This window comes from Homo sapiens, chromosome 6, assembly GCF_000001405.40.
Source record: "Homo sapiens chromosome 6, GRCh38.p14 Primary Assembly".
NCBI lineage: Eukaryota > Metazoa > Chordata > Mammalia > Primates > Hominidae > Homo > Homo sapiens.
In genome coordinates, this window is record NC_000006.12 from 39,961,945 (window position 1) to 39,981,800 (window position 19,856).

Here is a 19,856-nt window from a genome sequence, read left to right on the forward strand (position 1 = left end):
TTGTATTATACTGTTTTAAACCCAGTAAGTTTTATATAAAATAATTATTTTCAGGGAGCCTTATTAAATTGGACTGATTACTTAAGGGAGTTTGATTTTGATTAATGTTAAGTAAACCTGAATTGAACAGACTAGTTTTCTGTAAGCACTTTAACATTTATAAATTTAATATATTCCATTTTCTTTAAGAAATTAGAAGTCTAAACTCAACAAACTCATGACCTAACAAACGAATCCTTCCCTCATTATTAAGCAGCTACAGTTCTTTTAACTATCCTAACACTCTTTATAAGTTAAGTCACTTCCTCTTATACCATCCAACCTCAAATCCAATGCACATTTAATTTGGAATGACAGGTCAATTTGTCATTTACTTTAATATGCCACATTCAATTATATTTTACCAGCATTTTATATACCCACCACTCAGATTATCTTGACTGTAACATAAACTAATGTCATGGGTTTGATGCACTTCATAATTTCTATATTCCTGGGGTTAAAAGACACTTAACCCACTAAAGTTCAGTGTTATTTTAGGTTACTGAGACAATTCATGATGTGATTATCACCCAAGGCAAGTTGGATTTGCAACTGGACAGAGACATAGAGACATTTGGCACAGGGATACCAGACTTGGAAGTGCCTGTGTCAAGTGTGGCTTCATGCATCACAGATGGATGTACTGAGTCCAGTTTTAATAATCTCTAGATTGTTAAGGACCTTTCAGGTAGGGTTGGTACCTACTGTTTCAGTTATACACCATCACACAATACTTTTTGTAATCTTTCAGTTTTATTACTTGATTTGAATCATCTGAATTCTACAATCTCCAACCAAATTTCAGCTGATTTTGTTCCCTAATGTCATCACTACTTGACTAAACTACGTATTTTTCGTGGCTACCAAGAGTCTGGTATTGGTAGACTCTGCTTCTCTCTTTTCTTTACCTAGCTCTATGGTCACAACACCCCTGAATGGTATAAATAAAAGTAGGTATACATTAGACACATTGAAATGGAATCAGAAGCAATGGCTACCAAGAGGTGGAAGTGGCCTAGTCAAAGCAAAAGCAGACCAGTGAAGAGCAAAGATCGTGGCAAAAGTTTCTTGGAATGCTCAAGGCATTTTTCTTGTTTACTTTCTGGAGGGCTGAAGAATGATATCATCTGTTTATTATGAGTGTTTTGAGAAAGCCAAGCTTTATGAGAAAAATACTCAGGAAGACTGCTAGAGAGTCTTTCACTACGACAATGCTCCTGCTTATTCCTCTTAAACAAGGGCAATTTCATGAGATTTGATGGAAAATTAGGCATCCACCTTACAGTTCTGATTTGGCTCCTTCTGATTACTATTTGTTTCCTCATCTTATAAAATCTTTAAAGGGCACCCATTTTTCTTCACCTAATAATGTAAAAAAGGTTGCACTGATGTGTTAAATTCCCAAGACCCTCAGTTCTTTATGGATGGACTAAATGGCTGGTATCATTGCTTTCAAAAGTGTCTTGAACTGATAGAGTTTATGTTGAGAAATAAAATGCTTTATTTTTATCTTTTAATTCCAGTTTCCATGAAATTTTGAGGTCACCTTGTATCTTTTAAGTGCTGAGAGAAGGTAAGAATGAACCTACAATTTTATGCCTAGTCAAACTATCATTCAGGACTGAGAAAAAAGTCATTTTCACAAAGACAAAGACTAAATTCCCTAACAGACTGTTTCTGGAAAAAAAAAAGTTAAACTACATAAATTCCACTCTATGAAAACACTTGCTATTTGCTATCTAAAATGCAGGAACGAAATAGACTTGCATAACATGATATACTTTACAGTCTCAGTATCCAAATTCATTATCCAAACCTAGGAACCAGAAAGTTCAGATGGTGAGGAAAACATAACTAAAGGAAGAAAAATTAAACCCCCCAAAAAAAGAAGTGAGATTCTCAAGAAGGAAAGGTGAGCAAGGAAACTGATTAACATATGGGTAAAACTAAATGACCATTGTTTGAAATAATACAAATAATCATTGTTTTAGGAGGTATACAAAATAGTGGAAATAAAATATGTACTGATTAATATATGAAGTAGAATTGGTAATTGAAATGAAAAGTTCAAGGTTTTGGCAATCGGCAGGAGGAGATTAGAAATATACTAATCGTAGCAGGCACTGTTGATACCGGTTTCCCCAGTATCCTTTCTGCCCACCCAAGTTCATTTGCAACTGTGGTAGACAGTTTTCAACAGGCTGACAGCTCCTGCTGAAGCACATGTCTCTCTCCCATGCCCAATGTCCTTCTCCTGAACCACAGAAACGTGCTCTGCCTTAAGCACCTGTAACCTGGAAGTTTAGGGAAGTTAACACCCATGGATAACGTTCAACCAATAGAGGAGTCAGATAAATGTCCTGACCTCCTTATCCCCTGGCGGGAAAATTGTCAGACACATTCCATTTGCTTATTCAGAGGGTTTGAGCATGTTATCCACAACAGTTACCTGCCCATGAGGGCTTCCCGTATTGGCTTCTCTCTCTTCCCCATCTCACTGTCCCATTCATTCACTTGTGCTTCCTGATTTTACTTCCAAATGCCTGTACTCAAGTTCTTGTCTCAAGGGCAGCTTCTAGAAGAATCTGAATAAGACACCGATTACCTTTAGAATTTAACTAAAGCATGCTTGCTACAATTTTAAGAGTAATCACTAAAACGATACAGACAGGATGTGAAAATTCCAGGTATAAGGGAAAAAAGGAAATGAAAAACCTTAAGTCAATAAAGATAAAAGGGGTGGAAGGGGAAGAGAAAGTTAAGAAAATCTGAGTAAATATTGTATTTCTTAGAATCTAAGAAATCTAGGATGACATCAGTTGTAAAATGTACTTAAATTTTACATGCTACTAAGTTAAAAAAAGCTGCTAACTACAACATGAATTGTAAGAAACACTTTAATTTCAAAGATATTGCAACATGGGGAAAATGTATATCTTTTGGCAGCACCAGAAAGATTCTAGAAATATAAAAGTATTCAATAATCATTATATAAAGGGGCTAAGTCATTTGAAAGGTCAGATTGTCCAACTGGATTATATTTTTAAGATTAGCTCTATGCCATCATTAAGAGATACTTCAAACATGAAAGAACACAAAGGTCACACATAGAAGAATGGAAAAAAGATAATATCAGGCAAATATTAACTAAAAAGCTGGTGTAGGTATCTCAAAATACCTCTAGAAATGCTTTTTTGCTTTAAGGAGAGCTTCTCCATGGTTGTAAAATTTCAATTCCTAAGGAAGATGTGACATTTCTAAATATTATGTACCTAAAACAGCCTAAAAACATAGAAAGCAAAAAGAAGTACAAGGAAACATAGAAACAGCCTAAGAACATAGAAAACAAAGAGAAGTGCAAGGAAAAGGTCAACTCCAGGTAACTCCAAAACAATCTAGTATTGACAGATCAAATAAATAAAAAATTAATAAATGTTTAGCAGATGTTAACATAATGACTATTATATAATGAACATGTAATAAACCCTATATCACAAATTAAAAATATATATACTCTTACACATGGAACATTTATGAAAATTAGCCACATATTAAGACATAAAACCAACCTTACAAATACTGAAAGAATCAATATCATACAGATTGTATTATCTGACCACAGTATAATTAACTTAGAAAGCAGTAACAAAAACATAAAAATACATTTGGAAATTTTCAAACATGTAGTTTTTGGGTCAAAGACAATATTGTAAGAGATATAAAGAAACATTTCAACTGAATAATAATGAAAATCTATGTATCAAAACTCATGCGGTACAGCTAAAGCTACCTTTACAGAAATTTACAGCCTCATATACTCAAAGAAGTCTGAAAATTTATGAGTTAATCATCTAACTCAAGAAATTAGAAAAAGAACAGGGTCCAAAGTAACTAAATGGAGGACAATAAAGATAAGATCAGCAATTAATTGTAATATCTTGCATTGGACTCAGTTTTTTTTTACTCTCCTACAATAGGATTATACATCCACATCCTCTACGTACAATGGAAAGATACTGTAAAGTTACTGGGCAGATATAGTTCCCTGCCCCCCTGAAAAAGGGCTTCACTATCAAGGCCAAGGCTTCCCACTTGGCCTCTGCTGGCCTCAGGACCACCAAAACTCAGCATTTAAACAACAAGCATTGATTTCTTACTGCAGGGTGTATGAGTCAGCTGGGATAGGCTAAAATCTGGGCTTCAGCCTCCAAGTTGCAGGTTGTGTTCAGGTCCTTAAACCTGGAGCACGTTCTTCCCTTAGTGAATGGCAGGCAAGCAACAGATTAAACTAGGCCGGGTTCGGTGGCTCACACCTGTAATCCCAGCACTCTGGGGGGCAGATGCAGGCATCGGAACACCTGAGGTCAGGAGTTTGAGACCAGCCTGGTCAAAATGGCAAAACCCCATCTCTACTAAAAAAATACAAAAACAGTTGGGCATAGTGGCACGTGCCTGTAATCCCAGCTACCTGGGAGGCTGAGACAGTAGAATCACTTGAACCTGGGAGGCGGAGGTTGCACTGAACCTGGATTGTGCCACTGCACATCAGCCTGGGTGACAGCAAGACTCCATCTCAAAAAAAAAAAAAAAAGATTAAACAAAACTGCGCTAACATATTCAAGTCTCCTGCTCCTATCAAATTTACCCACATTCCATTGGCTAAAGCAGAGTTTTGGTCGTCCCCAGGCCAGCAGAGGCCAAGTGGGGAGACTTGGCCAGACTGTAAGGAAGCACCAAAATCTCCTGTCCTCCAAAAACTGGTATCAAAGAAGGCCAAGTGAGAATATTCATCCTTCCTGGCAGTACCAGGCACACTGCACCCACATGGGAGCCTCGATTTCCATGGCCCCTTGGCAGTAATAAGACATCTCTCCCCTCCTGCTGGAGGGTGGGTGTCAGGAAGCCTGTGGAGAGGGCTGGGCCTTTCGCCACCAGCCAGCCATAATGAGGCTACCCTCTACCCCTATGGTGTCAGTGGAGGCTATTTGGAGAACACTCATGAGACACTCCTACCCCTCCCCTCAACCAGGGAGGCCTAGATGGGGGCTGGAACTTGCACCCCTGCCCAGCAGTAACAAGGAGTTCTCTCTCTCAGGTGTTAATAAAGGCCAAGTGGGAAACCTGGACTTCCAGCCCCACCTGGCAGTGGAACCCCCCTTCCCCTATCAGTGCAGTGTCAGAGGAAGCCAGTTAGAACAGAAAATTTATGTAAGATCAGACTCTCATGACATAATACCCCAAATTTCCAGGGTTCAATCACAAATCACTCATCATACCAACCACCAAGATCTCAAACTGAGTGAAAAGAGGTAATAAATGCTCATATCAATATGACAGAGATGTTAGAATGATCTGACAAATAGTTTAAGATAGTCATCATAAAAATCAATGAAAAACAACCAGATTTTTAAAAATAGGCAAAAGATTTGAATAGACATTTCTCCAAAGAAGATATACAAATGGCCAGTAAGCACCTAAAGAGATGATCGGCATCACTAAACATTAGGGAAATGAAAATTAAAACCACAATGAGATAATACCTTACACCCATTAGGATGGCTACTGTCAAAAAAAAACAAAAAACAAAAAATAACAGCGTTGGTGAGGATGTGGAGAAATTGGGATCTTTACGCGCTGTTGGTGGGAATATAAATGGTACTACTACTGTGAAAGCCAGTAGGGTGGGTCCTCAAAAAATTGAAGATATAATTACCATATGATGTAGCAATTCCACTTTCACCCAAAAACTGAAAGCAGGATCTAAGAGAGATATCTGTATGCCCATATTCATAGCAGCATTATTCACAATAACTAAAATGTGGATGCAACCCAAATGTCCATCAATAGATGAACAAGCAAAATGTGGTATATCATAAAATGGAATATTATTCTGCCTCCAAAGAGAAGGAAATTCTAACACATGCTACAATGTGGATGAACCTTGAGGACATTTTGCTACAGTCACAAAAATATCAAATTCTATATGATTCCACGTATGAGGTAGAATAGTCAAAACTAGGGAGACAGAAAGTAGAATGGTGGTTGCCAAGGGCTGGGAGGAGAGAGGAGAGAGGATGGGACATTATTGTTTAATAGGGATAGACAGTTTGAGTTTGAAAAGAGATGGATAGTGATGAGTTGTGTAACAATATGGATGTACTTAATACCACTGAACTATACACTTAATGATTAAGATGAGAAATTTTACATTATGGGTATTTTAGTACAATAAAAAAATAGAAAAGGCTGGGCATGGTGGCCTGTAATCCCAGCACTTTGGGGGGCCGAGATGGGTGGATCACCTGAGGTCAGGAGTTCAAGACCAGCCTGACCAACATGGTGAATCCCCATCTCTACTAAAAATACAAAAATTAGCGGGGCATGGTGGCGTGCACCTGTAATCCCAGCTACTCAGGAGGCCGAGGCAGGAGAATTGCTTGAACCTAGGAGGCGGAGGTTGCAGTGAGCTGAGATCACGCCACTGCACTCCAACCTGGGCAACAGAGCAAGACTCTGTCTCAAAATAAAAAATAAAATAAAATAAAAAAAAAAAGAAAAAAAAAATCAAGGTGCAATTATGACCATATTTGAAATGAATAAAAAAAGTCTCAAAGACATAGAAGATACAAGAATCAAGTGACAATTTTAGAAGTAAAAATACAATTAGTTAAATAGTTTTTAAAAACTCTCTCCTCTGGGTCTTTGTAGTCAGAAAAAAAACCCTTAAAGGATGATACTGAATATCATTGCCTCTAGAATCTGAAGTCTGAATTATTTCTTGCAAAATTGAAGAAATAATCAGTGAACTTTAAGATAGAAATTATGCAGTGTGAACAGACAGAAAGTAGACCAAAAATAATTAACAGAACCTCAGGGATTTGTGGAAGTATATTAAAAAAATCTAACATTTATATCACTGGTGTCCCAAATAGAGAGGAGAAGGAAGGTGAGTCTGAAAATGTTCTTGAAGAAATAGCGGCTACACAATCCTCAAATTTGGCAAAAGACATAAAACTACACATTCAAGCAGCTAAGAAAACTCCAAACAGGGTAAACCCAAAGAAATCAACACCAAGTCATATATACTCTAACTTGTGAAAACTATAGAAGGAGAGAGAGAGAGAAAAAAAAAAACTCTTGAAAACAGCAAGAGAAATGATACGTTAACTATATGAGAAAACCAACTTCAATGGCAATGACTTCCCATGAGAAGCTCTGGAGGCCAGAAGGAAATGGCACATGTTTCAAGTATGAAAGAAAAGAACTGTCTGGCATAATATTTTTCAAGTAGGAAAGAAAATAATTGTCAGCCAAGAATTCTACATTCAACCAATATATTCTTCAAGAATGAAGGGTAAATCAAGACATTCTCAGAAGGTAATGAAATAGTATCCAACAAACCATATACAGGATTTGTATGCTGAAAACAAACACTGATTAAATAAATCAAAGAAATGAATTGCGATACACTGTTCATGCATTAGAAGATATCAATAGTTAATATATAAATTCCCCCAGGTTTAAACGAATTTCTATCAAAGTTGTTCCAAAATTTAGACAGGAAGGCGAAGTAATTGGAATGATTCGATTTTATAAAAAAATGAAATGGAAGGAATATGTCTATCCAACTTTAAGACCTTATATAGCAATAGTAATCAAGTCTGTGATATTGGCAGAGATCAATGGAACAGAATAGAGAACTATACAAACAGATTAAAGGAGATAAATGATATTTCTCAATGGATGCCATTCTATGAAATTCTCAGCTAACAAGGAATACAAGGCAACTGCTTAATCCAACAAAGTGTACCTTCCAAAAACCCATAGGAAGTAACGTACTTCATAATGAGTATTCTTTTAAAATCAGGAACAAGATAAGGATGCCCATTACCACCATTACTATTTAACCCTGAACTGGCAATCCTAGGCAGTACAATAAAAAATAAATAAAAGTAATAACATTGGAAAGATAAAAGCAAAGCTTTCACTAATTGTATATGTTATAACTGTCCTCATTAAAAACTCAAGAGAAGCTAAAGATTACATGCAAAAATTAATGGTTACTTGCGGAAAAAATCTTTAATCCCAATATCCGTGATTTCTCCACTCATAAATAGCCAGCCTTCCCTTTTAGAGATAGGGGTATAAAACCTTTCCAATTGGCCATGGGAAGTCCATTCTTCTAATCAAGTTATCTGCTCTTCACAAAATTTCACAGAATCCCTATACAAATGATGCAGGTCCAAAATTCTTTAAGGCATTTTCTGCTATCTACACATTGCTTCTACTGGCTGTTGCTACTCTTATCACACTCGTTTTGGCCAAGTCTGGCCACTGCATCTTTCCTTCTTACAATTAGACTTAGGCTATGGTGTATCTTCCTGAAAGCTTTAGAGTAATAGAAGATGGTCACAAAGCAGAAAGGAAAAAAATTGATATTGGATACTGTATATCATTGCTTCTAGAATCTGAAGTCTGTGTGCATTCACAAGAGGTCTCCTCTAGGTTCTAGCCAAACCATCCCCTTCTCAGTCCTGAGAGCCCCTACCTTCCTTCTATCCCCTTTTTTTCTCCCCTCAAATAGATGCATTTTTTATTAACAGCTCAGGTTTTGATCCTAAGCCTTCATATATTTGCTTGCATGGCTGACCTACCCAATACGTAGACAACCCAATACAACTACTCTAAAAGAATAGCATTCAGTGTTGGTTCATCCCCTTCTCTTCCTTTTATGCCCTTGGATGATTGACAGCAGTATCCACTCTATATCATTTGGTCATGGCTCTCCTTCAGACAAAGCAATCAAAATAGATAAAACTTCATAATCTAAAGTTTCTTTGTTTTCTAGAATGACACTTGGTGCTTATATCTGGGAATGAGTTTTGGCTTTAATCTGTGATTATCTTTTAGGATTCTGCTACCAGCATTAGATAAAAACAGGCCAGAAGGTTCTTTATGTGACTGTCCTCTGTATACATATTCCAAGAATTAATGGCAGGGAATCAGAAGCAAACTGGCTAAGAACAAACAATTCAGAGGCAGATAAAATTACTCATAAACATCTATTTAAATCACACTGATATGGTTTGGCTCTGTGTCTCCACCCAAATCCCATCTTGAATTATACTCCCATAATTCCCACATGTTGTGGGAGGGACCTGGTGGGAGATGATTTGAATCATGGAGGCAGTTTTCCCCATACTCTTCTCATGGTAGTCACTAAGTCTCATGAGATCTGATGGTTTTATCAAGGGTTTCCGCTTTTGCATGTTCCTCATTTTCTCTTGCTGCTGCCATGTAAGAAGTGCCTTTCACCTCCTGCCATGATTCTGAGGCTTCCCCAGCCATGTGGAACTGTAACTCCAATTAAACCTCTTTTCCTTCCCCGTCTCGAGTACGTCTTTATCAGCAGCATGAAATGGGCTAATACTGGACATTGGTACCAGTAGAGGGGCGCTGCTGAAAAGATACCTGAAAATGTGGAAGCAACTTTGGAACTGGGCAACAGGCAGAAGTTGGAACAGTTTGGAGGGCTCAGAAGAAGACAGGAAAATATGGGAAAGTTTGGAACTTAGAGACTTGTTGAATGGCTTTGACCAAAATCCTGATAGTGATATGGACAATGATGTCCAGGCTGAGGTGGTCTCAGATGGAGATGAGGAACTTGTTGGGAACTGGAGCAAAGGTGACTCTTGTTATGTTTTAGTAAAGAGACTGGCGGCATTTTGCCCCTGCCCTACAGATTTGTGGAATGTTGAGCTTGAGAGAGATGATTTAGGGTATCTGGTAGAAGAAATTTCTAAGCAGCAAAACATTCAAAAGGTGATTTGGGTGCTGTTAAAGGCATTCAGTTTTAAAAGGGAAATGGCATCAAAATTTGGAAAGTTTTCAGCCTGACAGTTTGAAAGAAAACAAAATCTCATTTTCTGAGGAGAAATTCAAGCTAGCTTCAGATATTTGCACAAGTAATGAGGAGCCTAATGTTAATCCCCAAGACAATGGGGAAACTATCTCCAGGGCATGTCAGAGACCTTTGCTGCAGACTCTCCCATTCACAGACCTGGAGGTCTAGGAGGAAAGATGGTATTGTGGGCAGGTCCAGGGTTCTCGTGTTATGTGCAGTCTAGGGACTTGGTGCCCTGTATCCCAGCCACTCCAGCTGTGGCTGAAAGGGGCCAATGTAGAGCTTGGGCCATGACTTCAGAGGGTGCAATCCCCAAGCCTTGGCGGCTTCCATGTGATGTTGAGCCTGCAGGTGCACAGAAATGAGGAATTGGAGTTTGGGAACCTCCTCCTAGATTTCAGAAGTTGTATGGAAACACCTGGGTGCCCAGGCAGAAGTTTGCTGCAGGGCCAGGGATCTCACGGAGAACCTCTGCTAGGGGAGTGCAGAAAGGAAATGTGGGATTGGAGCTCCCACATGGAGTCCCTACTGGGGCACTGCCTAGTGGAGCTGTGAGAAGAGGGCCACCATCCTCCAGACCCCAGAATGGTAGATCCACCTACAGCTTGCACCGTGCACCTGGGAAAGCCACAGACACTCAACACCAGCCCATGAAAGCAGCAAGGAGGGAGGCTATACTGTGCAAAGCCACAGGGGCATAGCTGTCTAAGACCATGGGAACCCACCCTCCTGCATCAGTGTGATCTGAATGTGAGACCTGGAGTCAAAGGAGATCATTTTGGAGCTCTAAAATTTGACTGCCCTGCTGGATTTCAGACTTTCATGGGCCCTGTAACCCCTTTGTTTTGGCCAATTTCTCCCATTTGGAACAGCTGTATTTACCCAATACCTGTACCCCCATTGTGTCTAGGAAGTAACTAGCTTGCTTTTGATTTTACAGGCTTATAGGCAGAAGGGACTTGCCTTGTCTCAGATGAGACTTTGGACTACGGACTTTTGGGTTAATGCTGAAATGAGTTAAGACTTTGGGGAACTGTTGGGAAATCATGATTGGTTTTGAAATGTGAGGACATGAAATTTGGAGGGGCCAGGGGCAGAATGATATGGTTTGGCTGTGTCCCCACCCAAATCTCAACTTGAATTGTATTCCCACCTGCTCACATTTAGACATACCTATGTCATGAAAGGTGAGAAAATTAGTGAGCTGCTACTTCTTTCCACTTTCCTTCTCCCCTTCCCCCATCTGACTCACTGTATTAAACTTTAACGAAGTGAAAAGGATATTTTTGTTGTTGTGGTACCCTTCTACTAAAATGACTACTGTGCTTTTCTACAGATTAATTCTGTAAGAAACAAAAACTATTTATGATTATGATTATTTGGCTTTTATTTGTAGTGAATTCCAAGTGGGGTGATTGAACCCTTAGTGGAAGGAAGTGTGATGCTTTATAGCCTGTGCCACCTGAAGGGCACTGCACCAGGCATTGAGGTTACATAGGCTTTCTTTCATAATTTTCCAGCTTCCTTTGCTGTTCTAGGGTGAACTCAGTGCCTGTGATTTCTCAGGTTTCCCTCTCTCTTCTTTTGGGATGTGTTTCTTTTGGGAAGAAGTATATCCTTCATTTTTAACACACAAGGTTAGTTGGTTGTAAACTTTCTGAATCTTTGTAAATCAGAAGACATCTGTGGCTGCTGTGAGAATGTGTCCCTCAGAAGTTCCACTGCAGGGAGTATAATTGACCCACAGACTCTGGTGCTGCCTCTGAAATCCATCAGCATGTCCACACTGGGGCTTCTGAGAGGCTACTCCCAGCCAAAGACTGAGCAGGGAGACAATACTCCCCGGGGGCTTGAGGACTCCCTGCAGACTTTTCTAACTCTAAGACTGCAGTGCAGTCTAAATATGCCCACCCGCCCTGTCTTCCTTCACTCTCTCCTTTATAGGGGGTCAGATCATTATTGCTGACTGACAGCTTGCTGAGCCTATCCTGGCCTCGTATCTTTACAGGTGTTTGCTCTAATAAATTTCTTGCACACATAACCCTGTCTTGTAATGTTTCTCAAAGGACCTACCCTACCACATCATCTTTATACTTCCTTATACTTGATTTGATATTTTTGTCCCAGGGATTCTATAGCCATTTCTCTCAGATTTTTGAGGGCATTTTTCCACTGTCATTTAGCTTCCAGAATTGGATGAGGTCTTATGTCTTTTTGATTCTTGTTCCTTTGTGGAAAAAATTTTGCATCTCTGAAAGCTTTTAAAATTCTCTTTATCTTTGAGGTACAGAAATGTCACCAGTATATATCTAAGTGCATGTCATCTTAGAAGTTCAATACTTGATGAGCTCTTTTGAAGATGTATTCTTAGTGATTATCTTAATATTTCCATTCCTCTTGTTCCACTCTGTTTTTCCATTCTGTTCCTCTTTGACTTCTATTAAAACTGCCTCAGTTTTAAACTCCTTCATGTTTAAAACCCCATAACTACATATTTTGGAGAAAGAGTTGCATTTTGTTTTTTGTGGTAGTTAGTGGTAGAAATATGAGCAGGCCAGAGCAGGTTGTAGAACCAGAGCAGGATTTCCTGGGAGGAGAAGCCCCAGGAGAGCCACAGGAAAGCAGATCCAGGCCAGGTGCATGTGGCTGTGGATTCTCGCCAGGTGAGGCTCTGTGCTTAGAAAAGTGCTGATGCCCTTTGTGGTCGTGGGTCATTTGTTTCGGTACAAATTGTCTTTATTCTCTGGATTTACAATGATGAGAATATGCAATTGTGTAATGGGGAAAATTCACTGTATTCAAAAGTCACCCTGGCTGCCCCTTTTCCAGGACCCAGTGAGCCCGGAGTCTGGAGCAGAGCAGGCCACCTGTGATGGCAAAGGAGAGGTGCGTACCCAGAAGAGTCAGCTCAGAAAAGGCAGGCCTCAGAGAGAATGTGCCAGTCAACCCCTGTTTATTGGGATGCTAGAGGCAAAGCTAGTATGTATATGTGGCCCAGGGTTATTTTAGCACTAAATTTGCACGTATCACTAAGAACTGTGAAAACAGTTCTTGGGGGCTCAAGTGGGATCTCCTGAGCCCCATTCTCACTGATAGCCTCTCATTCCACTCACAGGAGGGGAAAGGAGCACTGGACCAGGAGCTATGAAATGAGTTTTAATCCTGGAGCTTAGGCAACTCGTTTCCCTTCAAGGCTCTTAGACCTCTCATTTGTCTGCCCAAGGGGTGGATCTGATGCTTCCCTCTTCCTGTGAAGTGCAGGATTTCCCAGGGCTGCTTTCTTCCTGTCCCCACTGGAGTGTCTTGGTCCTGGCCCTCTTCTGTCACCTCCATTGCACTAACTGCCTCCCTGCCAAACATCCAATGTCATCCCCCTCCACAACTCATGGTGGCATACATGCTTCCCCAATCACGCCTTTCTCCATGTCACAACCCTACTCAGAATCACTTTGCCACAGAACCATGATTTCTGGAAAGATACTTGCAGTGAATGGTCTGACAGAAAAATAGACATCTGAAATAGACAGAACTTGGGAAAACACAGGGTACTGCCTAAAGGATGAGGTCCAGACCCTTAAGCCTGTCCACCAGTGTCCTTTGAAATCCTTGACCCCAACAACTTAGTCTTCCTAGCATCATCAGAACCATCAGTTCCAGCCACACTGGCCTGCCCTTTATTTACCAAACATTCCAGACCCATCTGTACCTAAGGCTCCGGCTCGAAGCATTTCCTTAGTTGTAAAATCCCTCCTGCAACTGGCAGCCAACCCCCAGCCCAGCTTAAACCCAATTCCAGTTTTGAGCCCCTTATAAGGGTAAGGCCCTGTGGGGTAAGCAGAAGTGAACATGACCACTAGTGAACTAGCTGTGAGTCTAGTGTGAGTGACAGGCAAGGGCACTGTAATGACTGGCACAACAATAGAGGAAGAGAGTCTATGTAGACAGAGGAGACAGCAATGAATTCTGATTGGTAGAGGAACTGGGGCAGGGAGGAGATGGTCTAGAAAACCTCAAAGGCGATAGCATTTGAGCTGACATGTTGAAGCCTTCACGGTGAAATCCAGGCATAGGGATTAAGTTTGGCCTGTGGCCAAGAATGTACACAGTATTTTGGGGAGGGTTATGTTCCCCATACATAGTGGAGCACTGGTGTAGAGCAGGAGACAAGTTGGAGGACTGAGGAGTCAGACTGCAGTGGGTCTTACTTAAATGCCCTGCCATAAATGTGGACTTTCTCCAGAATAATCCTCTGAAGTCTATGAACAGGGAAACACTATGAACACCAGATCTGAGTTTGATAAGGTGGAAGGCAAATTAAAAGTGAGGAGGCTAGGAGCCTGTTCCCATTAGAGATGAACCAGTCTTTCTGTTTCCAAGGCCAGGACTAGGCAGCCCATTGAGGGCAGGATGAGTAGTTGGTGATCTGTGCAGGTTTTTGGCCACAGGGAGTCTGGGATACTGAGAATCCAGGTGGCAAATGTGGGACTCTGCCCAGAGAAGGAAAGCAGAGCTCCATCTCTGCTCCTCTGACAGAAAAAGAGAATGGAAGTCATTCTGATGTGAAGGAAAGGAAGTTCTCTCATTTTCTAATAAAGGAAAAGCTGTTTGTAGGATGTGAAGGGGTCAGGAATGGGGAAAGCAAAAGAAATACTGTGGGACCTGGTCAAGGAAACTACCCCGTAAAGGCTGAGTGGAGGACCCAGCAGCCCCAAGACCCTCTTGGGATGGAAAGTATGGATATGCAGGGTAAGCACGCTCCCCGGCTCCCTGGGCCATCTTAGTGACAGCCAGGCACATGGAGACAGTCAAAGGGCTCCTTCTGACATGCTTCCTTCACCTCCAGGACGTTGGTTCATCGAGGTTTCCTTCTATTCTTTTGGTGACTTTGTCAACATCCTTGCTGGTTTTCCTACCCCTCTGGACTCTAAACATCAAGATGTCCCCAGGGCTCCATTCTTATACCTCTTATTTATGCCCACTCCTTAGAAAATCTCATGTGGCACTGTGGCTTCAGACATTATTGGTAATCTGATGACGCCATTTTTTTTTTCTTTTTGTTGAGATGGAGCTTCGCTTTTGTTGCCCAGGCTGGAGTGTAGCTGGAGTTGCTCACTGCAACCTCTGCCTCCTGGGTTGAAGCGATTCTCCTGCCTCAGCCTCCTGAGTAGCTGGGATTATAGGCGCCCGCCATCATGCCCAGCTAATTTTTTGTATTTTTAGTAGAGACGGGGTTTCACCATGTTGGCCAGGCTGGCCTTGAACTCCTGACCTCAGGTGATCCACCCGTGTTAGCCTCTCAAACTGCTGGGATTACAGGCGTGAGCCACTGCACCTGGCCACCCCATGTTTATATTGTATGTTAAACTGCCTACTTAATAGCTTACTTGACTGTCTAAGAGACATCTCAAATGTGTCTAGGAAACAACTTCTAATTTCCTTGTCACTCTGCCAACCTACTCCTTTAATCCCCCATCTCTTAAGATGGCAACACTCTTCACTTTGGAGTCACTCTGGATTTGTCTCATGATTCCCTGTAACTCATGCCCGGTTCTTTCACAGATTCTGTGGGTTCTACCTACAGTCCGTGTCCTGCACCTGAGCCCTTCTCATCACTGCCACCCTCCTCGCATGAACCCCCACTTCTCCCCAGGATTTCTGCAACAGCACCTGCATTGGAGGCTCTTTTCTCTAGTGATCACATCACTCCTGCTGAAATATTCCCTCTCCAATGGCTTCCCATTACACTTAGAATTCAAATACAGCTCATGAGGCCCTATGTGCACCCATTCCCAGCTTTCCACTTCCTACCACTCCTCCTCTCGGTTAGTTCACACAGCCACACTGTCTTCCTACCTCAGGGCTTCTCCTCCTGGAGTTGTTTTGAGATGGAGTCTCTCTCTGTCACCCAGGCTGGAGTGCAGTGGCGTGAGCTCAGCTCACTGCAAGCTCCGCCTCCTGGGTTCATGCCATTCTCCTGCCTCAGCCTCCCGAGTAGCTGGGACTACAGGCACCCACCACCACGCCCGGCTATTTTTTTGTATTTTTAGTAGGGATGGGGTTTCCCTGTGTTAGCCAGGATGGTCTCGATCTCCTGACCTCGTGATCTGCCCGACTCGGCTTCCCAGAGTGCTGGGATTACAGGCCGCCTGGCCCTTGGAGTTTTCTTATTCAAGATATTCTCCTGGCTCACTCTTTTACTTCATTCAGGTCAAAGAGTTCTTCCCTGACCCCTCTTATTACTCTGCTTTGTTTTCATAGCTTTTATGACATTTTATTGCATTTTTTTACTATATATTTATTGTTTATATGAAAATTTTCTACACAGGCCCCAGAAGGAATTTTATTCCTCACTAATGTATCCTTAGCATCTAGAAGAGTGGCTGGGGCCCATGGCAGGTATTTAAAGAATATTTAAGGAATGGATGAAAAGCATGGGTTGCATTTAAACTGGGACTTGACAAGGTGGAAAGATCAAGGGCATCGGGGATATGAGGAAGTTGTTAAGAATATAGCTGGCCATGGATTCATAGGAAAATATGAAGGTAGGGAGGTAAGGAGGCTGAGTAAGCTGGGAGCTGGGAGATGGGTGGTGGTAGGGGTGGGTCAAGGAATCAATGAGTGGGTGTAGCAGAAGGAATGGGAGACAGGAACTTGTAGTAAAAGGGAGGCTGGAGTTGGATATTCTAGAGAAAAGAAGTATGAGTCAATTGAGTGATTATGAATTTTCTCAGAATGGTGACTACATTTTCCTCATCTATCTATCTTCTGTGGTCAGTATTGAGTTTGGCACATACCACTCAATAATTCATTGGTAAGCTGGGTGCTGTGGCTCATGCTCATAATCCCAGTACTTTGGGAGGCTGAGGCAGGTAGATTGCTTGAGCCCAGGAATTTGAGAGCTGCCTGGGCAACATTGCAAGACCCCGTCTCTGCAAACGAAAAAATTAGGCATGGTGGTGCATGCCTATGGTCCCAGCTACTAGGGAAGCTGAGGTGGAGGATCACTTAAGCCATGGAGGTCAGGCTTCAGTGAGCTGCAATCATGCCATTGCACTCCAGCCTGGGCAACAGAGTAAGACCTTGTCTCAAAAAAGTATTAGTCCATTGGTAAATGAAGAAACCCTATTTCCACCAGACTCTGGGGACACAGTTTTATTCTGGTTCCTTGTATTTCCCAAATGCTGCAATGAGAACATGTTATTCTTATGCCCTGTTCCTGTCACAGTCAATGCTTCCCCTCCATTCATTGCCACAGGGGACACCTCCCTTCCTCTTACAGGATCCTGGGCAATGCAAATCAGGCCACCTGAGGGAGATAGAAAACCTTGCCTGATGTTGCCCAAAAACTGGTGGCAGGATCAAGATGCGGCCACTTTATTGGTTATAATAGCAGGTTCAACTAGATTTCCTCAAATTCTCAATTTCTGATACTAAGATTTTAGACTTATTCTAAATGTCTCTGCAGGACTTATTTTTGAATTTGCACTTTCCAGTTTCTGCTATTTCTTTTCAACTACTAAATAGCTTCCTCCTTCATTGTTCCTAGAGTTTTGCATAGAAGATCCAGATTAACCCTCTAGGTATCTCCCCATAACCTTGACATTCTCTGTTCAGTTCTACTCAGCAAGCTCTTATTGCATGCCTACTCTGTGCTAGGGCCTGTGCTGGGTGCATGAAGTCTGCAACTTAGCAATGTTTAACACAGGCACCATGATGCAAGTAGAGAACTGAAATCCAGGCCTTCTTCTCTGTGGACCCGAGCCATTGCCTCCTCTCAGGCCAGCTCAAGTCTTGCCTCTGCAGAAGCCATTCAACTCCCTCTTTTTTTACGTTCTTTCCCAGGAGATGGGTGGAAAAGACAAGCCCAGCCTCTCAGAAAAACAGGGTGAAATCTTCAGCCAACAAGAGAATAAACATAATCTTTGGCAATCTTGCAAAATTCATGACCAAAAATAGACCCAAAGCAAAACAAACACATCCCTTTACTCTTTCACTCCTGACAATTAAAAGGAGACCAAATCAGTCTATTTCAATAATTTTGATTCCATATTACACGAAAGACAGGAAGTCATGTCCACCAAGTGACCTGAAAAATATGGACACTTTCTACTTTTTCATGGAGTTTTCACTGTATTCTTTTTGTTTCTATCTCTTTCTCCCTTCTGCCCACTCTTCCTTCCCCTCCCATCCTCCTCCCTCAGTTCTGTTCCAGGCTGAACATAGCATACAGCAAGTGGATGATGTCCAAGGCAATTCCTGGGTCTAGAAATCCATCAAGAATGATGCCTGGAGTCCAGATCAGAGGATCCTGAATCATCTGCCCTTTTCTCAAAGTGAGGAACAAAGCAGTGAGACTTGGCTCTCTAGTTGTTTTTCTCCTACCCAGCCTCAAACCTGGCCATGTCTCAGAATTAAGCACTGGAAAAGAGAAGAAGCACAACTCACTTTGGTGGAACTTCATCCAAAGTTGCAATAGAAATATTGTTCTTCTGACCCTAGGTTTGAAAAAAGTGGATAGAAGTTGGGGTATAGAAATAAGTAGAATTAGAAGTAGGGATGATTTTCTCCAATAGAAATATTTCATCAGCCTTTGGACTGTAGAGCAGAAAACTTTTGTCTTCATAGAACATTGAATATGTAAGAGAGCCAGTTGATGACAACTGCTGATAGTGAGGGGAGACGGTAGGGGCAGGGGGTGGGGATGATGTCCTGGTAATGGTAATAGCCAATACCCTTGACAATGACACTAGTAGCTCAGACACTAGAGGACATCTGGTGATGGTGGCCTTTTCAGCATAGATAACAATGTCCCCAGTATCTTACATGGGCTTTGGTATCTCATTAAGCAAGGAGCTGTAATATTTAGAGATGAATGCCAAAAGAACACATCATTCCAGTGAGTGAACATATAGTTGATAAAAAAATAAACATGGCATACATTACAGTCACCCAGATGACTGGAGTTGTCAACTGGCACTGACAATTTCTAAAATCACTAGGGAGGAATATGAGGGGGCTGAAGGCCACTCAAAATAGACAGTGAAAGATCCAGAGGAATGCCATGTTTGGACACTATTGCCATCCTATGTTTATACCAAGATGACGAACAGAGCCAGGAAGCACGGATGTACTGTTTTAGATGAAGGCCACAGAGGCTGATATGTGAGCACTGCTTGCAGGTTACAAAGCCTTATTCCCATGTAGGGAACTATGTTCATGTGCATGGCAGTGGAAGACTGGGGTCAAAGAGACAGTCACTGAGAGACCAAGCAGAGAATGGGACATTTCTGTCTTTTATAGAAGCTGTGCAGTGGGTGGCGGGGAAGAGGGGTGTTGATCCTGTGAGATGATTTCCAAAGGTTCCCACTAGGTGGAAGTGTTGGTTAGTACATGAGTCAGCAAAGGTTTCTCAATGAACCAATTTTTTTTTTTTTTTTTTTTTTTTTTTAAGGGCTGAATGGGAAATGCCACTGTCACAGATAAGAAGATGGGGGTGGGGAGTAAGGGGTAGGGTTGGTGGTCAGGGAGGCAGTAACTTGGTTCAAGATCACCAAGGAATAGCACTGTCCCATCCTCCCTTGCCTCAGACTTCTAAGGACAAGGCAATGAGCTCAGATTCTGCTTCCAGTTATTTTTAACTTCTAATCTCTACTTCTACCACTGAAAACAAGAAGTGCCAGTCTAAGACCTATTAGTTGTTTTGATGGAATAGAGAGGTTAAGGGTCTTAGACGGTAAACCCTGTGGCTCCCCATCGCCTGTGAGATAAAGTTGAAATGCCGTAACATGGCTTGTGAGACATTTTCCTGCTGCAGAATTTCCTTACTTTTACTAGTCTGTTACTTGAAGCTCCTTAAATTCTCCCATGATGCTTTTTGGGTTCTGAAAACCTATGCCTTTAATAGGTATTG

General features: G+C 41.6%; 1 long non-coding RNA gene across 1 annotated transcript in view; it reads left to right on the plus strand.

The window, feature by feature from the left end:
- LOC102723789 (uncharacterized) overlaps nt 1-18,397 on the plus strand; it is a 45,773-nt gene extending 27,376 nt beyond the window's left edge. The window contains exons 4-6 of the long non-coding RNA XR_001744112.1: nt 1,566-1,615; nt 12,776-12,832; nt 18,148-18,397. This is a non-coding gene — a long non-coding RNA (uncharacterized LOC102723789). The remainder of the gene's footprint in view (nt 1-1,565; nt 1,616-12,775; nt 12,833-18,147) is intronic.
- Nucleotides 18,398-19,856: the final 1,459 nt, after the last annotated feature.